This window comes from Homo sapiens, chromosome 8 (assembly GCF_000001405.40).
Source record: "Homo sapiens chromosome 8, GRCh38.p14 Primary Assembly".
Classification (NCBI taxonomy): Eukaryota; Metazoa; Chordata; class Mammalia; order Primates; family Hominidae; genus Homo; species Homo sapiens.
This window is the reverse complement of record NC_000008.11, coordinates 115920135-115946228: the sequence shown is the minus strand read 5'-3', so window position 1 is coordinate 115946228 and position 26094 is coordinate 115920135. Positions and strand designations below refer to the sequence as shown.

Genomic DNA, 26094 nt, shown 5'->3' with positions numbered 1-26094 from the left:
TTAACCCATCCTACCTGATCCATTACTTTTTTACTATACAGGTGGAAACAATAATATCTCTTAATCATACTTCAGACTTGGAATAAGAGATATTCATGTTTGACAGATGAGAGAGAAAAGGACAAGATTAGCAAAGGGATCAGAAGAAATGATACTAGTACATTTATTAAAACTTCAAATTAGTTCCATATTTTTAGTCATTTACTAATTACTATAAAAATGTTATATTATAATTTAAAGTCTCGGTGGAGAATATACAAAATGAGAATCTAAATAATAAAATATGTAGGTAAAGCTTCCTCAATGGTCTTTAAGCATAAAATAAATGGAAAATAATGAAATTTACAACTTTTCACCAACAGTGGAAAGGCCAAAGATTAAAGAAAAAGCCTCAAAAAATTCCCAGAGAATTTTGTATTGAATGTCACATTGTAGATACACTACTAGAAATACAATGTAAAATATTTCTGAAAGAGATTTTAATCTAATAGTCAATCCCAGCCTGTTGAATGACAACAACAAACTCTATAATTTTATCTCTAAATGGTTGTTAGTCAGTCATTATACAATATGGTATAAATGGGAACACATGGGTTTTGGGGCCCAGATAGACCTGAGGTTTGCATTCTGGATTATTATTCACTAGCTACATGAATTTTAGCAACCAGTAACCTTCCAAGCCTTGTAAGTTCCTATGTATCATGAATATGATAGCCACCACAAAATGTGTTGAAAGACTAAAATATAAAGAGCCATATAACAAGGCTAGCTGAAGTACTGGAATATAGTTAGTACTTAATAAACTGCTTTTTTTCTCTTCCAGGCTATTTTTTCTTCTGGAATTTGAATATGCTTGGGAGAGAAATAAGATTATTTTCACCATAAAAGACAATTTTGGTCCTTTGAATGGTAATGTTTTTAGCCTTTTTTTCAACTTTATCTTTCATGTGTGCATGTACCTTTGTGCATGTGCATATGTGTGTGCATATATACAACCACCTGTTTCTGTGTGTGTCCTTACTGGCCATGAGTAAGGTAAGTTTGAGGCAAAGCAAAGTCTAATTTATACATAAGTTATTCTAAAGTTCAGAGGGTGACTCATTATTTAGTCGTGACTTAATAGCCTACATAGGTCACGGGAGGTAGAACCAGATAATGAAGTAAGTGATTCATTGAATTGACAAGATTATTATATTCATATATTTCAATTTCATTATGATGAAGTAGATGGCACATTTGACTAGAAATCCTCACTAGATTCTCTTCTTGACACCACTACTGATTTATTATATGATTGTAACTGGGATGTGTCAATTTCTTATTTTCAAAATAGAAATGACAGTATAGTTTCCGTCTTCCCCACGGCAATTTTTTTGCGTATAAATTCTATTACATTGTTAGTAATTTGGAGACTGTGCTACCAATTCAAAATAATATTTTTAGCATTTCAAATTTGCCATAAAAATCTCCAGTCTCTTGATTTGTCTCTGCAGTGCCTCCTTTGAATATGTTATTTTGGAAATATGCTGAATATATCTCTTTTTGAAAAAAGAATAAAAGAAAAAAATTGTGATGATATATAGCTAGGAACTTCTGGTGGAGTTGAGAGCAGATACGAAAAAAAAGCATTTTGGAAGTGATAAGCTTTGATGTAGTCACTAGTAAGCTCAGTAGCAGAAACCACTGAAGATAAGTGGCAAGTGTCACGTGGTGTTTGGAAGCGTTGACAGCAAGAGGTGATATCAAAATCTGCATCACAAAAGGGCCATGCCATTTTCCAGGTTATTAGGAAGGCGGCTGAGGGATAATGGAGACCAGATACAAGCAGCTCCGATGGAAATGATAGTTGTTCCATTGTATTTAATGTTTGACAATACAAATACAGCCAGTACCCAACTACCTATATATGAAAAACATGTAGTATTCTTTGGGAAATAAATAATTACAAAATAGTTATAGGAATCATGGAAGAGAACTCCCTGGAAATGAGTATCAGTCATAATGAAGGACCCAGAAAAGAGACTTAAATGGAAGCTCCATGAGGACAGAGGATCATGCTTGTTTTCATCATGGTGCTTGACACAATGCCTTACCTGTAATAAGGAAGCAATGCATATTCATTGAACGAATAAGCAGCATTAAGCAGGAGGTAACTCTCAGACTCTTGATGTGAAGAAGCTGGTGTTCCCACATAAATTGCTATCTACATAAATTCAAGAACATTAACTTACAAGACTCCACTTTAGCACAGTTACCCCTAACTCATACAACCAGAGGAGACGTCACATCAAGGTGTAATTAATCAACTGCAAACACCTCCTTCCTCCTTGGTACATCACCCTCTTTACATCTCCCCATTGCAGTCTCCCCTTAGTTGATTTCAGCTGTGGCATGCTCACTAGCATATTTACTTTAATTTATAGCTACGCCTCCCTCTAGCCAGAGGGCAAATACAAGGGCTTAAACTATATCTGTATATTGCTTCACTAAAAAGATTAAAACTGAGTTGGAGAAGCTTGTTCTTGTATATCTCTCACAGAGAAGTTGATCAATAAAAACCTCTAATAAGCTACCATTTATTTAACATTTACTACGTGCCCCACACTCTCCTGAGGGTTGTGTCATTTTTAATCCTCAAAATAACTCTACAAGTTGGGTAGTACTTTTGTCTCATTTTTAAAATGAGAAAATGGAAAGATAGAGGTCAAGTAACTTGGCCAAAGTTGGTCAGTTATTAAAAGACAGAACCAGGATTTGAACAAAAGTCTGTCTGATACTAGATCAATAGATCAATCCATTGTTTCAAATCATTTGTCTTTTCTTTGCAAATCTGTGACAGGAACATTTCTAGTGACAACTAAAGTCTTCTTTATGTCAACACATCATAACTTATCTTTTACACCTAGCACTCTCTTGAACTATCTCTGAATTTTTATTTTGCTCAGGACTACTACATTTTAAGGAGAGCCGCCCTATTGAACTAACCGTATTGAAAAAAGGTTAATTTTTAAATGCCCCAAACTCTTTGCTCATCACATTTTGAATTATTGTTGGCTTCCTCATGAATATCCCATAAATCTCAATAGTCAAGTGTGGTATGGTTAGGGTTCTACTCTCTGCCACAGGCACTCTTAGAAGCAAGACCACAAATAAGAGCAACACTCTGTCTACTTCTCTCTTTCTTTCTGTGTGGATAGTTGACTCCATTCTGAGACTGGCTCCCTCTGTATTCCAAGAAACACAGCCACTGCAAGGGGGATGCCTCCCTTCCTTTAGGCTCATCTGAAAAGCATGGTGGAACCCTACCCATCTCTGCTCGGCCCTACATCTGAACCCATCACCTGTGGCCAGGGTAGCAGTTCTTATTAGAACCACATGGAGCATACAGAAAGAAACAATTGTTTAAGAAAAGGAGGAGGCTAGGTAAACAATAGATTTTCCTTACAGTCTTTTTAGGAAGTATCCTTAAGTAATACAATTTTTAGATACTTCTAAAAAGAAAAGAAAAGGAAAGGGCTAAGACATATTTTATTCTAAAGTTAAATAAGAAAATATAGAATAAGTCTGTTATTGGTATCTGCAGTCCCCTTTTTTCAGGGTAAAAAATAGATAGCTGGTGATATACTTCTTGGGATCAAAGAAGAGTTCTTATAATGCTCCCTTAAACTGCCTAGCAGAATGCTATCCATTCAGCCTTTACTATGTAAGGAAAAAAAGAAAAAGGAAGAAAGAAAAGAAAAGGAAAAAAATGGAAGAAAAAAGAGAGAGAGGTAGAGTAAGAAAATACAAGAAAAAAAGATGAGAAAGAAAATCCTATTGTTCTATAATTCTAGTGAAATTTGGCATGAAGTAAAATAACAAATGATGTATATACGTGGGAAATTTTAACTTATACATGACCTCATTGGTTAGACATTATGTAGTCATAGTTTTATTTTCTTATGATTAAATTTCATGTCTTTTGATAGCACGTTGAGCTCTTCCAGGGAGTCAATAATGACTGTTAAATTGGATTACTCACATATATCCCTTGCATTCTCTCTTTGTTCTAGCTCATCAGCTGGCAAGCAATTGCAAAAGGTCAGCCAGGAACTCAGGATCTTAACAGGAGTTGTCCTTATACTCTATATTTACCCTGCTTATTCTTAACAGTACAAAGCAAGAAGTGTCACTTTGCAAAAATGATGTTTTCTAAAAGTCCAAAGTTATCTGAACCTATACAAACCTAAAAAAAGTCTTGGGTTGGGCTTATGGTTTGAGGTTTGGATTAAAGCTTAGGTTATTTTATCTGCACTAGTTTTCCATCAGTAATTATACTCTTTCTATATCTCTGTCTTTCAGAGGGGGACATTATCATGGGTTTGGATACAGTAAGAATAAACTAACCAAGTTTTCTGCCCATCTTTCAAAATGAACCTGGGCTAAACATGTCTACAGGTTCAAATCCTTTTACACGTATGTTTGGTTCTCTGTGCTTGGTTTCCTTTTCACAGTTTTTAGCAGGCCATATTTGTATACCAGAAACATATAAGATACCTGGATATTTCAAATCCCAATATTACACAAATGGCTAATCATAGGATAAGGGCATTGATATACTTACTTGAAGAGAAACTTCTGGATTCTTCCTTGGTGAATGAACTCCATATGCCTGTTATACCTATAGCTTCTTCTATGTGAGATAAATCTGCCTGTAGTTTCTGACAACAAAAAAAATTTGACATATTTTGCATTAGCAATTACATCCTCAGTTCCACCTCTCTCATAGCATTAGGACAAGACTGGGTATCTGACCCTAAAGTGGCCAATCTACAGCCCAGCCATGTACCTATGAAGTAGTCTGCTATGAAAGATTATATAGTCAATAGATTACTTTTTTGAAAACTTCAATTGGAAAATATGGAAATAATAAAGAAGTTAGTATGGAAGCCCAAACTTCCAGGTAGTGTTGTGAGTCAAGTCAGGACCATGATAATCCTTAAAATAGTAATAAATTAATAGTCAATTGTATTGATCTCTTATAGGAGATATTTTAGTAACATTATCTCATTAAAATAAATTGGTTACTACTTTTATTTATCCTGTAGATTATAAAACTGAATATTTAATGAGATAAAGTATATTGCCTATGTCTGAGCAGTTAACTATTTGTAAATTTTGAATTTAAATCTAGATCTATATCACTTCAAATTACGGTAATTTTCACCATCATATATTGTAAACCAGAATTACAAGGAAGCAGAAACAATGAAGAAGTTAAATAAAGAAAAGACACACAGCAGAGGAAAAAAAAAACAAAAAACTATGCCCACTGGTATTAGAGGAAAATGAAACTACAGGGTAGAAAGTTGTTACGTTAATTTAATGGAGTTTAAAAAGTCTTCTTTTAGTGCTGCCGTGATTCCTGAAATTAAAATCTATAGCCTATGTTTCTGAGGAAGCCTCCTTCTGTGGCTTCTATTTGGGGATAATAGTAAGATTCCTAACTCTCAATTTTTCCTCTGAAGTACTTCTAAGAAAAACTCTTCATTTTGAGCTACCTTGAATGACAGTCCAGCCCTCCCAACTAAAAGAAGAAGCTAATTCAAACCAAGCACTGACACCTTAGTGAGTTCTACTTAACCACTTATTCATGAATAAGTTTGCCTATACATGAGCAAACTAATAACTGAGAATAGCACTATCTAGTTATGATTATTTTTTTCTTGGAAAAATAGAGGCAAGACATTCTACTGCTTTTACGTAGAAAGAATTTAAAGATGCTCCAGTCTGTGCAATTTACTAATTCAATTGGAACTGCTTTTCTGTTTAGACAACAATGGAGGGTAAGGGACTAACATCACTGAAGGAAATGTCCCTAAGCACATAAGGACATTTCAAATATATTTCAAAGTATGTTAAATAGAAAACAATATGAAATTCACAAAGTAGCTGCAAATATTTTGCCATCATATAGTGCAGAAGAGGGATCCTTTTACATCAGTACATGGATTATAATAATCTAGGAAAGAATAATAGAATGTGAAAAGTAAAGACAATGTAGCAAGCTTTCCATAAAAGATAGATTGTTTATTTTGGGTATAAAAGTTCCTTTGTTTTATGAAAACAAATGATGACAATAATTGTAGTTGCTTTTATAATACAAGAATTTGGCAGAATAATAGATTGCTTACTGTATTTTGGTCTTCAATTTATATTTATTTGCTTATTATTTTCTTATAGGTAGAATTCTAAATTACTGGTGTTGAAGATGACCATTACAGCCAAGCTGATGGGAAGTTTTGGTGATTAGAAAGGAAATATGGGCCGGGTGCAGTGGCTCATGCCTGTAATCCCAGCACTTTGGGAGGCCGAGATAGATGGATCACCTGAGGTCAGGAGTTCGATACCAGCCTGGCCAATATGGTGAAACCCCATCTCTATTAAAATACAAAAAAAAATTAGCTGGACATGGTGGCGGGTACCTGTAATCCCAGGTACTCTGGAGGCTGAGGCAGGAGAATCGCTTGAACCCAGGAAGTGGAGGTTGCAGTGAGCCGAGGTCATGCCACTATACTCCAGCCTGGACAACAAGAGTAAAACTCCATCTCAAAAAACCAAAAACAGATCAAAAAAAAAAAAAAAAAAAAAGGAACTATGTAGATGACAAGAGAAAATGGCTTCTATAAATTTATTCTTTGGGAATAATTTTTTAAAAGTTAAGAAGGAGAAAGGAGACCTTTGAAAAGTTAGAGGCTTTAAGAACATTTACATTTAAAAGCTATTCTCTTTTTTAATATATATAAACATTGGGCTATGTATTTAAGAGTTATGATTTTTTTGAGGTTTTCTTATTGTTGATTGTATTTATATTTATTTATTGTCCATGTGAAAGAATAACTGAGTGATTGATAAGATAGTACTCATAAAGCAAACATCTAGAGTCATTTTCATTAAAAAGTCAGAGCTAATCTTACCACAGAATCTCATTGGCAGAATATGAAAATATTGCAACTCACCACAATAAAGTAAATATTTTAACAAGATGAATATCCATTTAAAAATGAAAACTGCTGAACCGTGGCAAGTGGAAGCCACTAAACATTTTGCTACACGTTTCCGTCAGATTCTAGCCAAACCGTGGAATTGTCCTGTCAAGTTATGGGCATCACATAGGAACTCAGAGAGGAAGAGAGAGCAGGTCCTGGAAGGCAGGAGAGAATAGGAACAGGTTTAGATTTCAAAAGTAGCCCTCTAAGCTTTGTGGTTATTTCCTGATGCAAAAGACACTTTTTCCCAGTGCAAAAAGACATTTTCCCACCTGTTTTAAGAGCGATTGGGTTTCAATTATTTTCAGGTAGCTTAGTTTTATTTTGCTATTTGCACGTTCTTGTTTTCTTGCCAGTTTTGAGTAGCATCCTTTGTCATGCCAGATTCTTTCCCTCAGTCATCTTTCCTCTGAAGTTTCAGTTCACACTTTCTATAACAGACAATAAAATAAATATCTATGCTTATTACAATGATTTTCACAAACATTTTCATTATTGAGATACAGGGAATTATATATGGAAAAATGACTCAAAAGTGCATTATAAAGGCTGACAATTATAGTCGTGGAAATGGACACTTAACGTATAAAATTCAAATGACTTTATTCTCAATGCAGCTTAATAATTCAGATAGAACTAAATTTGAAATGGAAATAATTCAATCAGAGTAGAATGAAGATTTATTGCCTACTATCCTTAAAGCAGGGGAATTCTACACAAATGACAGTAAATCGGATTAAGTAAGAAGAAAAGAATCAGAGAAATAATGTTTAATCTTCAGAGAGAACAAGTGTAAAGAATTAAAATTGTTTGTATACAAGTGAATGCCATTACTTCTTCTTTCAAGCAAATGGGAAAGATGTCTTTATTCATTATTTATGATGAACTGACCTTAATAAAATTAAATTTTATTTAAATATTCTCTAATTTTTAGGTTAACAAATAATTCTCTAATCTGTAGGTTAACATTTCCCTTCATTAGTCCCAAATCATGAAGCTTTACTGGAGAAAAGGAAACCCTTTTACACTGTTAGTGGGAATGCAAATTAGTACAACCACTATGGGGAATTGTTTGGAGGTTCCTCAAAAACTCCTCCTGTCCCTTTGTGTCCTTAACATCTTTTCATTACAAAATTTTTGGGTCATGACTATTTGATCAATGTATTAAAAAAAAGTAGAGGAGTTGACAAAGTCACCTTATATGTCATAGGAAAGCTGAGTGAAGGAGATGGGCCAATTTACCATAATTCTGTTCATTGTATGGATAGATAAATGGAGGAAACCCCTCTTTAGTGTCTCTCTTTGTCTCCCAAGAGAAAGGCAGAACATTTATTAAAAGTGTTTAAAGCAGATTTTATTTAAAATGATGTGATATAACTTTCAGCAGAGACATGCTAAGGTGAAAAGAGCATTTTATAAATCCAGAAATGTCTAGCTTAAGGGAAGACACTGAAAATCAGGTCTGGAGTTGGCAGACAGTTTACTAGGGAAGGCATGTTATAAAATTGGATTTTTAAATTATATATTTATATATTTTTTATTATATATTATACATAACATTTTTATTATTTTAAAAATAGCCTGGACAATGAGGGTTATAGTAAAATGATTTTCATATTGGTCTCTGAGACGGCATTCGAGCCCGATCACTGTCTTTTGTCATGTCTGAAAGAGAAGTCATAGCTCTGATCTGCCTCCTGATTAGGTATAAGCACCATTGGAACAAGAACCCCATGGCCAATATTTGCAAGTATTGCATTTGGTCCTGAAATCGAGTTTCTTTTAGAAAACAAATTTTTTTAGTCAGTTTAACAGTACATGAAACTAGTAAAGGGAGGGCCTGGTGGAAAGTTAAGTACTACAGAGTTATGTCCTTGTCTTTCAAAAATAAGAGCTAGAAGAGTGAATACTAAAGAGAAAGTTGGCTTTTCAGGTGTCTAGGACACCTGAAAAGATAAAATTGTTACTAGAAATATGTGAAGGTAAGTTTGTCTTACTATTACATTTCACAATAATTAAGGAAACAGCAAAGAGATGAAAAAAATCGTACATATCTAAATTAGGTGGTTTATATGTATACGTTTATATATCTAGCTACCTAGCTAGCTAGCTCCTAAGTCTTATATAAATTTTGGTTCTGAAAACCTGTACTAGGAGAATTAATGGAGACTTCATTGTTGTTGATGTGGGAAGAAAATGAACAGTGAGTGAGTTTATGGAAAAGAACCAGGAGGGGATACCAGGAAGTTGGTTCTCAGCTGCTTCTTATTCTAGCTAACTATACACCATATTGTTTGACCCACCTCCCAAGCATCCATATGGTGTAGAGTTTTCTGGGAAGTAGTTGCCTAGCAGGGTCTACATTTCTAACCTCCATTAGTGAGGTTATGTGGATGAGAATAGAGTGGGGCACGTGTCTCAGTTTCAATGGGTGAGCCTTCCTCACTCTGTCCTCTGCCTCTGGCCTGATGCAGATGAATATGACAATCTTACAAGCCTCCTGTGGAAGATGGATGAGCCAAGTTGGAAAGGGTTTGGAGGAGAGCCACCTACTGATTAGAAAAGTAATTTGGACTGTATGTAAGCAACAAACTAACTTTGGTAATATTGTTTTCCTTGGAAGAGTAGCTAGCACTATCCCAATCAATATCTGAAGCATTTATATTTGAAATTAGATATAGCTTGGTTCTGGATCAAAAGTGAACATTCAAAATAAGTTTTCTCTAAAATCAAAGAACATTTTGCCACCAGAATCTTTGCAACAGTGACATTTCTTGCCATCTGTGGTCCTTGTTTCTATTTCACTGAAGTTAACACCACTTAACACCATAGTCTGTGTTCCACCCAACAAAACAGATAAGAATTTTGTGCTGTTCACATGTCAAAAAATTGTTTACATTTTTTCCAGTATTATTGCTTAATGTGCAGAGAAAGCTGCTGTTCATGGGGCCTTCTTAACGCTTCCTTTTAATCTTTGAAGCTTTAACTTTTTTGTTTTCTATAACTTTACTATGTCATTGGGTTATCTTGCTCTTGTGACCCTATACCATTGTGAAAACCAAAAAAAAGAAAGAAAGAACAAAAACTACTGTATGCTAATAGCACATGGCATCAGTTCTGTCAAAATATCAGCACATTAATGATATGAAAGTTTATAGTTAAGGAGATAGTTTTCTAAACTGTCCTTTTCTTCAGCATGTTGTTTTATTTCCACAAAGACTATGATGAGAATAACCTGGATGTAGGCTAGAGACGTGTTACACATCCTGTGAAATGAGTACATCCTAGTAGCCTCCTATGGCATAGAAATTCCTGGATTTAGTGAGGAATATTGGATATGTCATGTACTTGCAATTTAAACCAAAAGATCTCACTCTTGAATGAAGTATCTAAGAAGATGAAATCAATTCAATTTGACAAGAACTCAATCTCCAATCACCTTTCCTTCCTTCCTGGCAATATGTACTCTTTACCCTCAGAGTAATCATTTCGCTTACTGCTCATCTCTGATAGAGCAAATCTCAAGTACAGCAATAGCCCACAGCTGTCATTCCACACCCCATGTTTTAAAATCACCACACATTTCCTTTTCCCTCTTCTGAAATTGTCCCCTGCATAAAAACTTGTATTATTTCACAGCCAGATATTAGAAGGAAACTATATGATAAGAAATAATTAGAAAGGTGCTGTTTTCAGAATCTGGGATAAGACCACAGATTTCCTCTTACTAGCTGGCTGATATTTGGGTCTGTCCCTGAGCCTCAATTTAATCTTTCATAAAATGGGGATATAACATCTAAATCACAGGGAAATCACATATAGTGACTCTCAATAAAAAGTAGCTATTGTTATCATTTTCAGGAAGCCGTGTGATGTACAAGACCCTTTTCAACGCCCAAGTGAAACTCTTCTTGGTGAATTTTGTGGGAGGCAAAGCAGTACAATAAAGGAGAAGTAAATACTCTTAATTACAGTTGGACAAATTTTACTAGGCAAGGGAATGGAAAGAGGAGAAATAGGTCACATAAACGATAACAAAACATCTGTTTAAAATCTGCCTTTCTATTGCTGGAGGAGAAACTTCCTGGTGATCAGGTAAGTGTTTTATATTACTGCGTCTCAGTTGTCGTCACTACATAATTGAGAAAACTGGTCAATCTGCCTGAGACACTCCCTGGTCCTCCATGAGCAGATTAATATCTACTGACACCTCAGCATTTAGCTTAAAGCCATTTCCTTCAGCAGGTCTCCAGTGACCTCTTAAAACCAGGCTAGGTACTCCTCCTAAGTCTGCCCTGGCATCCTCTTCTCATGCAATTGTAGCACAAATAACACTCTCTTGTCATGGTTTTTACTGTTTCCACAGACTGAACAGTAAGTTTTGAGAACAGAAGACTTGCTTTGTTCCACATTGTATTCTTGATGCTTAGGGTAGTCCTTAGGTCACAGGAGACATTTAAAATATTGTTGAATGAATGAATAAATAAGTTAAAATCTTCCAAGTGAGAGAATAGAAAAGACAGACCACGGGGGGATAAATGTAAAGGAGAATAGGTTAAAGTAAAAAGTAAAAGTAACTGTAAAATATATTTCCTCAGAGATGTGAAGACTGTGAAGGAACATCATCTCTGTCTTTAAATTGTGGAAGGCTGCAAATTAATTGCCTTATATTTAGTCAGTTATTAAATGGAAGCCAACTGCTTATGAGAATACAAGGGCAGAGAAAGAAGGTTTCTGACCTCACAGAGCACAAAACATAGTGGAGGAAATACAGATGTTAACAAACAGTAACAATATGATATGACCGTTGCCACACGGTGGGGAGGATGTTCACCTAACTCAAGGTAAACAGAGTCCAGAAAGTCTTTTCACACAGTGTAATACTTAAGTTAAATCTGAAAGGTACACAAAAAGGGAAATAAAGAACTAGACAGAGATGACCTCTGGTACGCATCCTCCAGTTTTATCATGAGTCTGCAAGTCTGACATAAATTGTCTGCATAATGAAGAGGAATATATTGGCTCACAGAATTGAGGTCTTCAGGAATGGTTAAGTCAGGAGCTCAAAAGTTGTCTTCAGACTCTCTTTCTCTCTTTCTCTCTCCTCTCTCTCAATCTCAATCTCCTGGCTTTGATTTTCACTTTGTTAACCCCTTCTTTTTAGATTTTTACTCGTGGAGGCTAGACACCCACCAGTAGCTACAGATTACCTTTTCCAGATTACCATCTCACAAATTCTAGTAGAATGAGAATGATCTGCCCTACTAATAGCTCCAGTAAAACCACAAAATCAAGTCACATTAATCTGGCTCATTATATAATTGTCTATTTCTTAACAAGTCAGTGTAGCCAGAGAGATACACTGCTCTGCCACAATGTCTTAAATCCTTTGTCCACCTCCGGAATCTAGGGTGAGGTCAAGCCCATAAATTCACATGGCCCGAAAACGAGGGAGTTATGTCAAAATTAGGGGAGGGGCTGATACCAAAAGAGGACAGGGATGGACATCAGACAGCCAGAAGCTATAAGTATTCATTATATATATATACACACAGACGCACAAACACACAGACACACACGGACCTTAGACATGTCTTCTACATGTCTCTTGTGACCAGCTTATTATTAAATATTTAATTATTACTCCTGTACCCATATCCTTGTAGAATACCACACACTTATACACACAAACACACACACAGCAAATCACAAGAAAGCATAATAGAAAATTAACAATAACCAAAGTTATTTAAAGATGTATAATGCCGTAAGTATGATGACACTTTTTGGTAGAATCTGTACTAGCTGAAGTTCTGTATGCTTTGATTATTCACTGCTTGCATTAGTGCAGGCTCCTTCACTCATGGCCTACAATAATCATTAACAAGTGTGATACAGACAAGGCTTGTACTCTGCATGACTGTGAGCATTGATTAGGTAGGGATCACTGTAGTTTTTTAAACTGGAAGAGGCCTTAAAGACCCTATTATTTACCCTCTTATTTTATAAATAAGAAATTATGTCTAGAGAGGTTCAATACCTTGCAAAATTTTCAGATTTGACAATGATTTCCATAAAACACTGCAGGGTACTTATTTAATAGAAAGATAATTTTACACAAAGCCATTTCCCCTACCACTTTCTGCACATGAAAACCAGAGAAAGAAAAGAAGAACCAGGTGCCCTCCTTTCTGCCAGTGTAAAAACTCTCCATGATAAAACACCTAAAAATGCTGTATAACACATGAAAAACTAGTTTCCGTTACTTGAAAGCAAGAGGACACTTTACTTTCTAATCACATTACAAGTTAGAAAAGGTTGTGGTCATTCTAGGGATTCTAATGAGAAGTGATTTGTAGGGAAACTTGACCAAGCTGGGAAACAAGGACCAGTGCCTAATTTTTCTCTTGCAAATTCTTGAAGAAATGTGACAAGGTTTTTATATGACCTATTTCTACGCCTGCCTTAAATACCAGAATAAAATAGGTGAATGATTCGGAGGCAACATTGAGCTTCTGTATTCAGAAATCTAATCAGAATATTTCATGTGCCTTACTCAGAGGAGGCTCTACACAGAACTATCGCTATCCATATTTTTTTGTCATATGACAGCAAATTGACATTTGTTCTAACATAAAGAGGAAAAATAAAGGAGAAAAAAGGAAAAATTATTGCCATTTTGTACAAATGGAAACTAAGAAGAAGGAATAACAGTAAAAGAAATCAAAAGAATAACCCAAATATATATTTTATTGCTTTGTCAATTTACATATATGAAAAATTTGTTATTTAACATGAGCGTTATATTACCAATAATATTTATTATTAAAACATTTAATAACATATATTATTTTTCTCTTTGAAGTATTTTTGAGATCCGGAAACTATCAGCAAAAAATAATATTAGACATCACCTACAGAAAATAATTCTAAAAATCAAAGGAATCTTAAATCTATTTTATTTCTCATCAGAGTCTCAAATTCCTGAATCCTTGGATTATGGCCCATCCTGTGAATATTCCTCCCTCTTTCTAGAACTTGTTTTGATGTTCAAGATTGATGTGGATGATAGATGTAACTTGATATGGTAAACAATCTTATATTTTGATTTTGAGGATTACTTCACCCTTGTTCAGGAAGGCTCTGCTATATGGCTTTAAGAGATCCTACTCTTTCAGTTTTCTTTGACTTGAGTTTACCTACAATATCAAAAGAAAAAAAAATCCCTGTAGGCATTCACAGTTATATTTTACTCTAATTACAGAATTCTTCAGCAGTAGACTCTGAAACTTTCACTTTCTGAAATGAATGTTTTTGGGGTAGATTAAGGTGACAGCTATAACACTGGGTAGGACTTTGAAGTGTTTAAAAATTCCTCCCCACAAGATAAGCCTGAAGCTGAATTTCAGCCAAGAGTCTGTAATTGCCTCAAAGTGTGATGTTTTCCATTTGTCTCTTCAAAGTTTCTTCCAGTTTATCCACAAAGGCAGCATTTTCCTATTCCAAGCCTCTTCTTTTCCACAACATTTCTCTACCATTGGAGGTTTTAGAGGGCTTATCTCAGAGAAGGTTGATATGTTATGACTGGTAATCACCAGCCAATCAGTATTTAATTACCTATTCAATATATTTACAGTGCTTTTAGAGAAATATGATTGTTCAGGTTGGCCATCCCTAAACAACATAAACCCCCATGAAATTATCAGGCAAAAATACAAGCTAACTGTGTGTTAAAAAGTCAAACTGAAAGAAATGAAACAAAGAACAAAAATTGCAATAATGTCAAAAAGGTAAGGTTAAGGTGAAGGTCAGCTACAGTTTAGAACAATGATTTTTAAAATAGCTCTATTGAGGTGCATTTTAGATATCATAAAAATCACCCATTTCAAGTGTGTAATTTTTGTGACTTTACTGAGTGGTACAGACATCACCACAAATCAGTCTTAGATATTTTCATCTCCCTCAAGAAAATCTCTCATGCCTGTTTACAATTAATCCCTATTCCCACCTGCAGGCAGCCATTAACCTACTTTCTGTAGCCATAAACTTTCTTTTCCTGGACATGTCCTATAAACGGAATCATACAATATGTGGTCTCTTGTGTCTGGCTTTTTTACTGAGTAATGTTTTTGAGGTTCATTCATGATGTAGCATGTGTCCTTATTGGTTTCTCTTTATTACTGAATACCATTCATTATATGAAATGATTTTAAATGGCAGTATTGTAAAACTGTGTTTTTCACAGTGCCCTTGCAAGCTGTAAATGTTGTGGAGTTAAAACCTGTTTCCACAACAATCAGTCAACACAAGGGGTCCTATGACCAGGAAGAGCTTGCAAACCATTGACCTACGGAATACTGCACAGTTCTTTCATGCAATAATTCAACAAATATTTATTGAAGCCCTACCATGAGCCAGGTACCATGCTGTCCACCGAAAAGATAGGAAGGTGTAAAGGAGATGTAGTTTCTGTGCTTATCCGCCCGCCACGCCCCCCACCCCCCCCCCCAACCCCCCGACCAACACCATTATGGTCCTTTAGGAAAGATGGGATTTAAACAAATAATTAAACTTAAAAATTTTTGGTTAAGATTAAGATGAGTGCTACTACAAAAACGAAACAAAACAAAACGTACTTACTGTAAAAAATGAGTAAGAAAGACATTCAGCCTAGTCTGAGGCTCGAGAAAGATTTCCCTGCGGTAGTTATATTTAAGCTGAGATATGAAGGACAAAATATTTGGACAGGTTTACTAAAAATAAGGAAGAGAATGTTCTGCTCAAAGAACAGACTTGAGAAGGACTGATGCATCCAGGGAACTGAAAGGACAGCAGAGCTGCAGAAGCACTGTGTTGGAGGAAATCAGGGATGAGCGTGGTGCAGAAAGGGGGCTGGGAAGTGGAAGAGGCTGGGTTGTTCAGGGCTATGTGACCATTGTGAGGATATGAGATTTTATCTTGAGGGCAAAGGATGCCATTAAAGTGTGTGAGGCAAGAGAGTGCTATGATTGCCTTTGTGTTTTCTGAAAAAAGTTACTCTGGTTATTGTATACAGAATGAATATTTGAACAATGTCAATATTATAATAAACTGGTGGAATGAGATCACTTCTAAGGGAGTTACCATGTAATTTGTTCCCTGATAACTAATGTTTCCCCATTCCCTAGGACTGTTCCTATTATGCCACATAATAGGGTCTTTTCTGGGTATTTATCCAAAAGAATTGAAATCAGGAATTTGAAAAGATATTAAAATTCCAATGTTCATCGCGGCAATATTTATAGTAGCCAAGATGTGAAAACAATAAAAATGTCCATCGATGGATGCATGGATTAAAAATGTGTGGTATATAACTACAATGTAATATTATTCAACCGTAAAAGAAGAAAATTCTGCTATATATGACAACATGGATGAACCTTGAGGACAATATTATGCCCAGTGAAATAAGCCAGTCACAGAACCACAAAGACTGCATGATTCCACTTATACAAGGTACCTAAAATTATAAAACTCATAGAAGCTGAGAGTAGAATGTAGCTGCCAGGAGGTGAAAGTTCGGGAAAACAGGGAGTTGCTATTCAATAGATATAAAGTTTCAGTTATGCAATACGAATACATTCCAACAGTCAGCTATATAACACTGTGCTTATAGTTAACAATACTGTACACAAAAAGTTGTTAAAAGGATGTATCTCACGTTAAATGTTCTTACCACAATAAAAAATAATTGTTGGACAAATGAACAAATAATAAAGGCACCATTCTTGAATTTAACAATAGCATACTTTTTTATAAACTAGAAAAGTCTCTTGGTTATTGCATAGTGAAGTAGTTCCTGATCATTTGCTTGTTCATCTGTTTATTGAGTAGGAAAGAAATGGGTAAAGTGAGAGCTAGCATGCTAAGAAAAATGAATAACTCCAAGCCTGGGCAGGAAATGCTTCCATCCTTCTTCCATCACAGCAAGCAAAATGCTGAGTAACTCACTATAGATTTACCTGACAGAGGATAATGCTAACTTCTCTTCAACTAGAAATGCAAGCCTATTCTAACCAGAAAACAAAACAACAAAACAAGCCACTGATTATTTCAGGGAGAGTACATAGACTCAAATAGACATTCCCTGGTATTAAAATGATTTTGGGCTTCTGACTCTTGCTACTGGTAAAACTGTATGGCGAATGTTATTACATCACAGCTGCTCACCACCTGCTGAGTGATGTCTTTCTTCATCAACCTTGAGATTGGTTCTTTCATCTCTAAACTTTGCAAGATATAAAAACGTTTCCCTCTCTTCTGGACTATTTAGTTGCTAGAAACAGATTCCCAAATCCTCTGCTGACATGTTTACCAGGAATACTAGTTCTGCTGTCTTCTCCCATGAAAAACACCACCCGCCTGCTCAAAGCAAAGAACTAACATCTTGGGACAGCAAACCTGAGATGACCTTTATTATTAGTGCCAGTATTTTTTTTTATTTTAATATTTTTGAAGGCTCTACTTTTGAAATATCCACGAATATTTTAGAATTTCTTGTGTGTGCGAAAAATCTTGGCTAACTACTTGCCTCCATTTATCAAAAAATTGGAATGGGTTTATACTAGGCATGAAATGTCTCTTTGTATTTTTACTAATGAATTAATGGTGCTAATAAACATTCGAGGCAAAGGAAGAAAGCATGGTGGAATGTTTATTGTACTCACTTCTAAGAACCTGTTAAAAATAAATGGAATCATTTAATGATTGAATGTGCTTGTTTACATTTCAAAGCTGATTAACTTAAATTTAATCTTTGTTTTCTTTCATTAGATGCTGTGGAAGTTCTCTGTCACGACTTTAATTAGATGCATTAATAAGGTTTTAAGACATCTCTGCACAGAACTATGTGCAAATTCAAGAGGATGAACCCAAATCTGGTGATGTAAAAGTCTTATTTTCGATGTGCTAACTGAAAGCTGCTTATTTTTTTTTAGCCTTTTTAAACTATTTATTTTAATGTATGTATGTGAGTGTTTATAGAATCAGTAAGAAATCATAATTCATTTTAGTTCCCATTTGGGTCTCTAGAATGTACCAAAGCTCTTAGGAGGAACTCAAGATTCTTATCTGCCTTTCATATAATGAACCTAAATACTGTGGTGCTGAGAATAAGGACAAAAAATGTAAACAAGCACGGATTGGCTCCTACAGGAGACAGAGAAGGCTGCATACATACCCATAACACGAATTCCATTTTAAGTATATGTCCATTTCTTATTTATCTCAATGGAAAATAAATGCAAACTTGAAGTCCATTTTGGAATTAGCTGTCTCTCTGGCACTAGATGAGTTCTTAGGAGCTCTGGGATTGTGAACCCTTATAAGTTATAAGCCAAGGAATCCACCTTGACTTATAATGGTTAAATGGGTTAACCCATTTAAGATTGTGAACCTATAAATGTGGTTAACCCATTTAAGATTTGGAAGGGTGGTAGATTCTTTGGCTTAAAATCAAAGATAGGTTTGAAAACTTGGCGCAGCTACATTTGATGTCTGAATTATATTATACTTGACCAATCATTAATGGAGGAATTCATGTGTTTACATATAGAAATAATAGAGATATGTAGAGAGCATTTCAGTATTCAATGTTTTAAAGTTTGCCTTAAGACTTAGAGTTTATAACTTTCTTTTTATTAGTGACAATTTTTGGTCTTCTTTTCTGGAACCCTATGCTCAGTTGACAATAGTGACAATTTTATATGTATTGATGTAATTTTCTTTCATTTGGGAATTATCTTTCTCTTACCTGCATACAGAACTTGAACATGTAAGCTAAGATTTATAAATATGTAATTGGTAGTCTAGATCAGCATGAACTATAAGATTCTTTCTTAAGAAGCACTCAGTAATAAATGACTCCTATTAAAATGGTCTAATTAGTTTTAAGTATTTAACTAGAATTAACAGAGATTCAAAACCCAGCCTACCTAGACTGCATATTAGCTTATAATGACTTAGGAGTAATCAGATTTCCCAGATGGCTTCACAAGGAAAAAAGAAAATAAAAATAAAACAGTTTTAAAACCAGGTAACTAATTATACACAGATTATTTGCAAACAGCTTCCCTCCTTTGAACAAAAGAAATAAGCTTAGCTGAACTGAACTGAAGCTCTCATTGCCAAACCCACAACGGAATCATTTTCCTAGAAGAATAGGCCCATATTATGAATGTAATGATGAGTGATATCAAACTGGGCCATGATCAAAAATGAACAGGTACTTGCTCTAGCTAATTTGAATGGCTGGTCTTTGGGGGCAGCTGGGTTGAAGTTTGCATCTTTTTCTTTCCTTCTTTCTTTCTATTTTTTTACTTTTTTTGAAAAGAGGCCTTTGTCTGAATTCTGAGTGAAATGCTGGATTGCAAATGACTGTATTCTTTCCCACCTCCTTTCTAGTAGCTACAGCTTTCCAAGGAGGTCTTTGCCTCTGTCTTTTCTACTCGGAAACAATGGGTTCTTGGAACTCATAAGGATAGTTGGAATCCCAAATAGATGAAATTGGAGAAATTGGAAATTTTATTTCAGGTATCATGACTTCCTTGGCAATAGTCTCAAAGTTTCAAAATTATTTTTTAAGTAAATCAGATCTGTGTTTACTTTGAAACAAATCGTTAATCTCTGAGTAAGTTTTGTTTCTCATTATCATTATATTAATTGAAGTTCAGTTATAGTAGTCAGCAGCTGTTATTGTTTTCCAGGTGTTGAGCTAGTGCTTGACCCTGGCTCTCATTTATTCATCACAATACCCTATTATCCACATTTTAGAGATAAGAAGAATCCGAGTTACAAAGGTTAAGAACTTATCCAAGTTACATAGCCAGTGAGTCAGAAGGCAGGAATGGATCCACCTCCGCCTCACTCCTATGTTTTGTGCTCTTAATCATTATGCTAGAGAAGAGAAAATGTTTTCACAATCCTTACTTCTTATACGAATGAAAAATTGGTTACTCCACATAACAAGGATCCTGAATACTATGAGGAATAGTTTTATAAAGTCTAAATACAGAAGGCTACACCAAGGAGTTAAAGTTGTTCTTCATCCATTGTGTTCAGAAAGTGCTCCATAATCAACAAGCATGTTTATCTTTCTCAACAACGTTCATGTGGTTGCTTTGCAAAGATTATGGATTTGCTTATCCATATTCTGGGTCATAAGTAATGTTCATTTACTCTAAATTCTTTCATAAGGAAAACTGTCGAAATATTTTCCCAGAGGTCATTTTTCATATGAAAGTGAAGTATGGCAGAGTATATTATGTTGGTCTAGAAAAATAGAAGGCTTTTAGGAGAACATACCCAACGTTGCATTCCAGCTTGGCTAGATTAACTATTTCTATAACACTGGACAACATATTTAACTAGGAGCCAGTTTATTCAGTATGGAAAAGCCAGGGAAAATCAAATGAGATAATGTGGTAACATCATCAGGCATAGGGATGTTTATTTTCTTTCATCAACCTTATTTTTCTCCTTTGTTCTTTCCCCACACAATTCTTTGCTTTCTATTTTTCTTTCTTTCTTATATCCTCCATTCATATTTTTAATTTTGCTACTCATTTTTGATTTGTTATGGGAGAAGTTAGGAAAGGTGGTCTCTGAATTCTCTAGAAGTCATTCTGTTTTGCTACTGTTCACTTACCTACTTAGGATGGTCGCATCACAAAACCTTTCTTAAAATTTTCATCTAAATAATTTTTGAAGATAATAGATACGTGAACAGTGGCCACTAAGTCTGTTAAAAATGGATTCTACTTTTCAGAGTAAATCTTGAGTTTTGTGCTTATTTTGTCATTTTTTTCCAATAAAATTGCTTGATGGAAATTTTCACTTCATATGTGACTTTTATAGAATGACCTTTGTAGAATAATGAGGATTAATTTTGCTAACATGTTCTATGTCTTCAATAATTTTCCCAAGGCATTCATTAATTTCTTGTTGTATATGTTGTATTCTTTTCAACTACCTAGACTGTGACTGTCCTTTTTTATTTTCTCTTTCTCAGTTGATAACCGGTAGGGATAGATCCAAGTTTGTGGGAGCCTCCAAGAAAAAGAATATAATATTATGGAAACAATGGTTAAAGAACAAACAGTTTAGAATGAGCAAAGGAAACACAATAAATTATAAAAATCTGACAAATATCTCAATCATAAAATCCAGAAAAATCACAAAATGTTTTTGTTAATGAACTGCTTGGTGTACATCCATGTTAATTTTTACTACTTTATTTGGCTGCATATGCTTTGATTGAGTCTTTATTTGACAATGATTTTATATTTTTTGTAATGAATGCAAGCATATTTGAGATTTTCCTCTAGCATGACCAATAAATATTTTTCTATTATTATAGTTTAGAAGATTTTATTACAGCTCTACCTGATATTGCCAGTGTCATGTACCTTTCAACATACATGTCAAATTTTGGAAAAAAACTTCTAACAAGTGTATATATATATATATGCACTTGTTAGAGATATACATATATATACTTGTTAAAGGTATATATATACTTGTTAGAGGTATATATATATAATGCAGTAAGTTTATATATATATATGCAATATATTTATATATACATATATATATGCAGTAAGATTTGGAAGAATTTTTTGTAGAAAACTAGCTTCTGGCTCTAGCCAACTGTTTTCATCTGGGACTGTTTGCCCTGTGTTGCCAAATATTTTAAGAGAACCCTGAAATGCACATTTTGTATGAACTGTCTAGACAATTTCTTTTCTGACTTTTAAATGTTGGTAATATTCGGGTTTTTAAGAAACACTGTGAATAAACAAAATTTATCTGTTGTTCTACACAATGGAAAATTAAGATACTACATTTTTATTTTGTATTCATTTTATTCTTATTCTTTAGGGTTTATATTAATGTTGTTTTCTCATACCTTGATACTGACCATTCTTTAAAATGATACTGTTTGAACCAATCTACAGTTTACAATGCTTGCATCATCATTTTATACATTTATAATGCTCATATTTGGATGCCAAAATACAAAAGCGGGGGGGGAATATAGAGAGGTAACACGTGAAGTTGGAATATGGCCAGTGTATTCGCCCACAGAATAGGACACAACTGTAGAACGCCAGAGTGAAGTCCTGAAAGCTCTAGCATGAACTGGATTCCTATTTGCCTGTGTCAAAGAACAATGCTTGAATTCCACAGCCTATTTATGAAAAAAAAATTCTTAGCAAAGAAAGAATAAAAGAAATTTCCTTAATGTGATAAAGAGTATCTAACAAAAACATAACACCAAATGTCATACTGAAAAATAAATTATTGAAAGCCTCTCCCTGAGATTCAGAATCAGGTAAGTCTATTTTTTGTCACCTTTTATAATCAACATTATCTAATAGAATTTCAAGTGGGAGGCCCATTCAGTTCCCTTTTCCTCATTCTTGTCCAGTTTCTCTTCTGCTTTATTCCGAGGCTCCTAAAGGGATATATAGGCTAACTTTGCAGCTCAGGATCCCATAAAAGTGTTCATTGAAAAAAAGCCTTCGCCAACCCAAAACACAAAAATCAAAACATAAAAATCCTTAAAACTAGTGCCCCGATTCGTGGTGGCTCACGCCTGTAATCCCAGCACTTTGGGAGGCCAAGGCGGGAGGATCACAAGGTCAGGAGATGGAGACCATCCTGGCTAACACAGTGAAACCCCAGCTCTAATAAAAATGCAAAAAATTAGCCGGGCGTGGTGGCAGGCACCTGTAGTCCCAGCTACTTGGGAGGCTGAGGCAGGAGAATGGTGTGAACCCAGGAGGTGGAGCTTGCAGTGAGCCAAGATTGTGCCACTGCACTCTAGCCTGGGGGACAGAGCAAGACTCTGCCTCAAAAACAAAACAAAACAAAACAAAACAAAACAAAACCTAGTGCCCTGATTGCCCTTATTACAATGCATGCCTTTTCTTTTGGGACTAATTTCACCAGTGGATTTAGTTCCTTTTGTCTAAGTCTTCTCCTCTTTTTTCCCATTCTTCTTAAATTTTAGTAAGTAAATGCTCCATTAAGATTCCAAATAATCCTATAAGCAAACAAATCTCAAAATCTATTTTTGTATTTTAAAACTATATTTAAAATAATGATGTGTACTCACGTTATCTTGTAGTCCACTGAAGTTCCATCTATTTTTGCGGGGGGGGCTTTAATAAACAATGAAGAATATATAAATGATAAATGAATTCATTCCCTGCTATACTTGTTATCTACTGCTGCATAATGAATGATCAAAAACGTGATGTCTAAAAACAACAAACAGTTATTAGCTCATAGTTTCTGTGGGCCAGGAATTCAGAAGCAGCTTAGTTGGGTGGGACTTGTGAGTTAGAGTCAGGGTGTTGTCCTGAGCTACAGTCCTCTAGGACTTGTGTCCAGCCTCACTCATGTGCATGTTGGCAATAGGTCTCAGTTCCTCATAGCTGTCAGTTGGAGGCCTCTCTTCAAGACACGGCAGCTGACTATCCCTAGAGCAAGTGATGGAAGAAAGAGAGTGAAAGAGAAAGCAAGCAGGAAGCTTTGGTGCCTTTTATGACCTAGTCTTAGAAGGGACATGCCATCATTGCTGCTGTCTTATTTATTTATTTAGGCAGAGTTTTGCTCTTGTTACCAAAGCTGGAGTGCAATGGCGCAATCTCGGCTCACTGCATCCTCTGCCTCCCCCAGGTTCAAGCAATTCTCCTGCCTCAGCCTCCCGAGTAGCTGGGATTACAGGCACCTGCCACCATACCTGGCTTTTTTTTTTTTTTTTTTTTTTGTATTTTTAGTAGAGACAGGGTTTCACTTTGTTGGCCAGGGCTGATCTCAAACTCCTGACCTCAAATGACCCACCTGCCTCAGCCTCCCCAAAGTGCTGGGATTACAGGCATGAGTCACCGTGCCTGGCCGATGCTGTCTCTATCGGTCACATAGACCAACTTTGGAAGCATGTGGAAGAGGACTACACAACAGGGTGCATGCCAGGGACCACCCTGAAGGCTGGCTACTGCCTATGATGAAGGGAATTCCTTTCATATTTCATCTTCAATGCTCATTTCATCTTGGAAATAGCTGGTGAAACCAGCTAAATTAGTTGAACCCCAAAAATCTGTTACAATTTATGTCATAGTCAGCTAGCCATTTTCAGAAATTTTTAACAGTGATTTTCCAATTGGCAAAATAGGGCAATGCTTTAATTTAATTTAAATATACGTCTAAGTCTATCTAGCCAACTTTCCAAAGCCAATTTTTTTTTCTTTTAAACTTGAAGGGATTGGATATTAGATTCCAAGTAGTATTTTACATTGTCATTGAAAAAGAAATGGTTGAAAGTTTTATATTCTTTCAGAATAAGTGAAATTCGTAGTAGATGGCATGCAAAATTTTGTCTCTTTGCAATTGAAATGAAACAAATGAAACCCAGACTTATTTTGAGTGAATTAACTCAACCTGAGCCTATAGCCCAGCTACTGGCTTGGCCATAATTAAGTGCTAATCACATGGGTGTGCTGTTTTGTGAGGCAGTAAACCAGTTTCCTGAGTGTATAAACAAGGAGATTGAAAGCTGAGGATCTTAAGCTATCAAGGAACTGCAATTTTCTTGTAGGAAAAAAAAAAGCAGACCTACCTGTTTTTGCTATTAGAATAAGAGTGAAAATTCCAAAAAAGTGAAAGAAAGGGTTGTTTTAAAAATTGGCTAAGGGCAGTGCTGAAGTAGAAAAGTGTTTCATATGCTCACAGTCTCTTTGTTAAGTATCTCCTGTACAATTCAACAATCAATATGTTTGTCAAATACTTTCTATCTGTAAAACATCATTCCATAGGGGCATTTAAACCCATGAGGGTTAGAGCAGAAATGAGCTACAGATTTCATTTCATCTATAACCAGTTTTCTATCCCACTCACATTATGAATTTCATAGATTAGCAAAAGGGGATTCTAAATTGTTAAGTAATTTGTCCAAAGTCACATATATGTGACTTTGACATATGACACACATACAGAATGTTGTTACAGAAACGTTGTTAAAATACAGATTCAGAATTCCAACACTGGCTTAAAATTAAACCCCAGTTGTGCACTCACTATTTGACACTGGGAAATTTAAGCTTTGCGTGGTTCAATTTGTAAACCAAGGAAGCAATCCTTACCATAATCATAAATTCTACATATATGAGCCAGGTAATAAGGCTATACTGCCCTCAAAAAGCTTTTAGTCTATGAAGGAGATAAAGGTAAGCAAAATGTGCTTTGGAACATGGATATTGCTATGGTCTAAAACTTCATATCCCCTTGAAATTCATATGTTGAAATCCTAAACTCAAGTTGATGATATTCAAGATGGGCTTTTGAGGGAAATGATTAGGTCATGGGGAAAGAGCCCTCATGAATGGGATTAGAGTCCTTATAAAGGGGGCCTAAGTGAGCTTGTTTGTCCCTTTCCCCACATGAGGACACAGCAAGAGATCCTATCTGTGAGAAATGAGCTCTCACCAGACACCAAATCTACCAGTGCCTCCACTTTGGACTTCCAGCCTCCAGAACGATGAGAAATAAATTTCTGTTGTTTATAAGCTACCCTGTATAAGGTATGTTTGTTACAGCAGCCCAGAGGGACTAAGGTAGACTCCAAATCCAATTTCTCATAGGTGGTCACATATGAGCTTTGCATAGCAATGGGAAGGTGAAGAGGGAGACAGTGGTCTGGGGGAGAGTGCAGCATGTACACAGGCCCGGAGACTATAGCTGGCATGGCAAGGCAAGGAAAGGCCACACTGAGGGTGGCTGGATAGAGATGACGAGCTGGGCTGTTGAAAGGACTCACTGAGGAAATAAATGAAAAGAGTTTATCCCAGCTCATGGTACACCCTTGGTAAATGATAGTTGCTGTCATTAATTTTATTATTGCTATCATTAAGCATTAAAACTGCAATTGGGAATCTAAATTCCTATTTGAACTTATCTCTGATTACCAGTGTCTTTTTTTTTTTTTAACTGTATCAGGGTGATGTACCATAGAAACTTTCCAGTG

General features: G+C 35.4%; 1 long non-coding RNA gene across 2 annotated transcripts; it reads right to left on the bottom strand.

Annotated features, from left to right (window-relative positions):
• Window positions 1–1362: 1362 nt before the first annotated feature.
• On the bottom strand, window positions 1363–23301 carry LOC107986903 (uncharacterized). Of its 2 annotated transcripts, none has more exons than XR_001745737.3 (4): window positions 23185–23301; window positions 7301–7459; window positions 6999–7183; window positions 1363–4700 (listed from the first exon to the last, which is right to left on the bottom strand). It is a non-coding gene; the product is annotated as an uncharacterized LOC107986903 (long non-coding RNA). The 2 variants fall into 2 exon arrangements; XR_007061063.1 differs by lacking the exon at window positions 23185–23301 and adding an exon at window positions 15669–15903.
• Between the last annotated feature and the right edge of the window lie 2793 nt (window positions 23302–26094).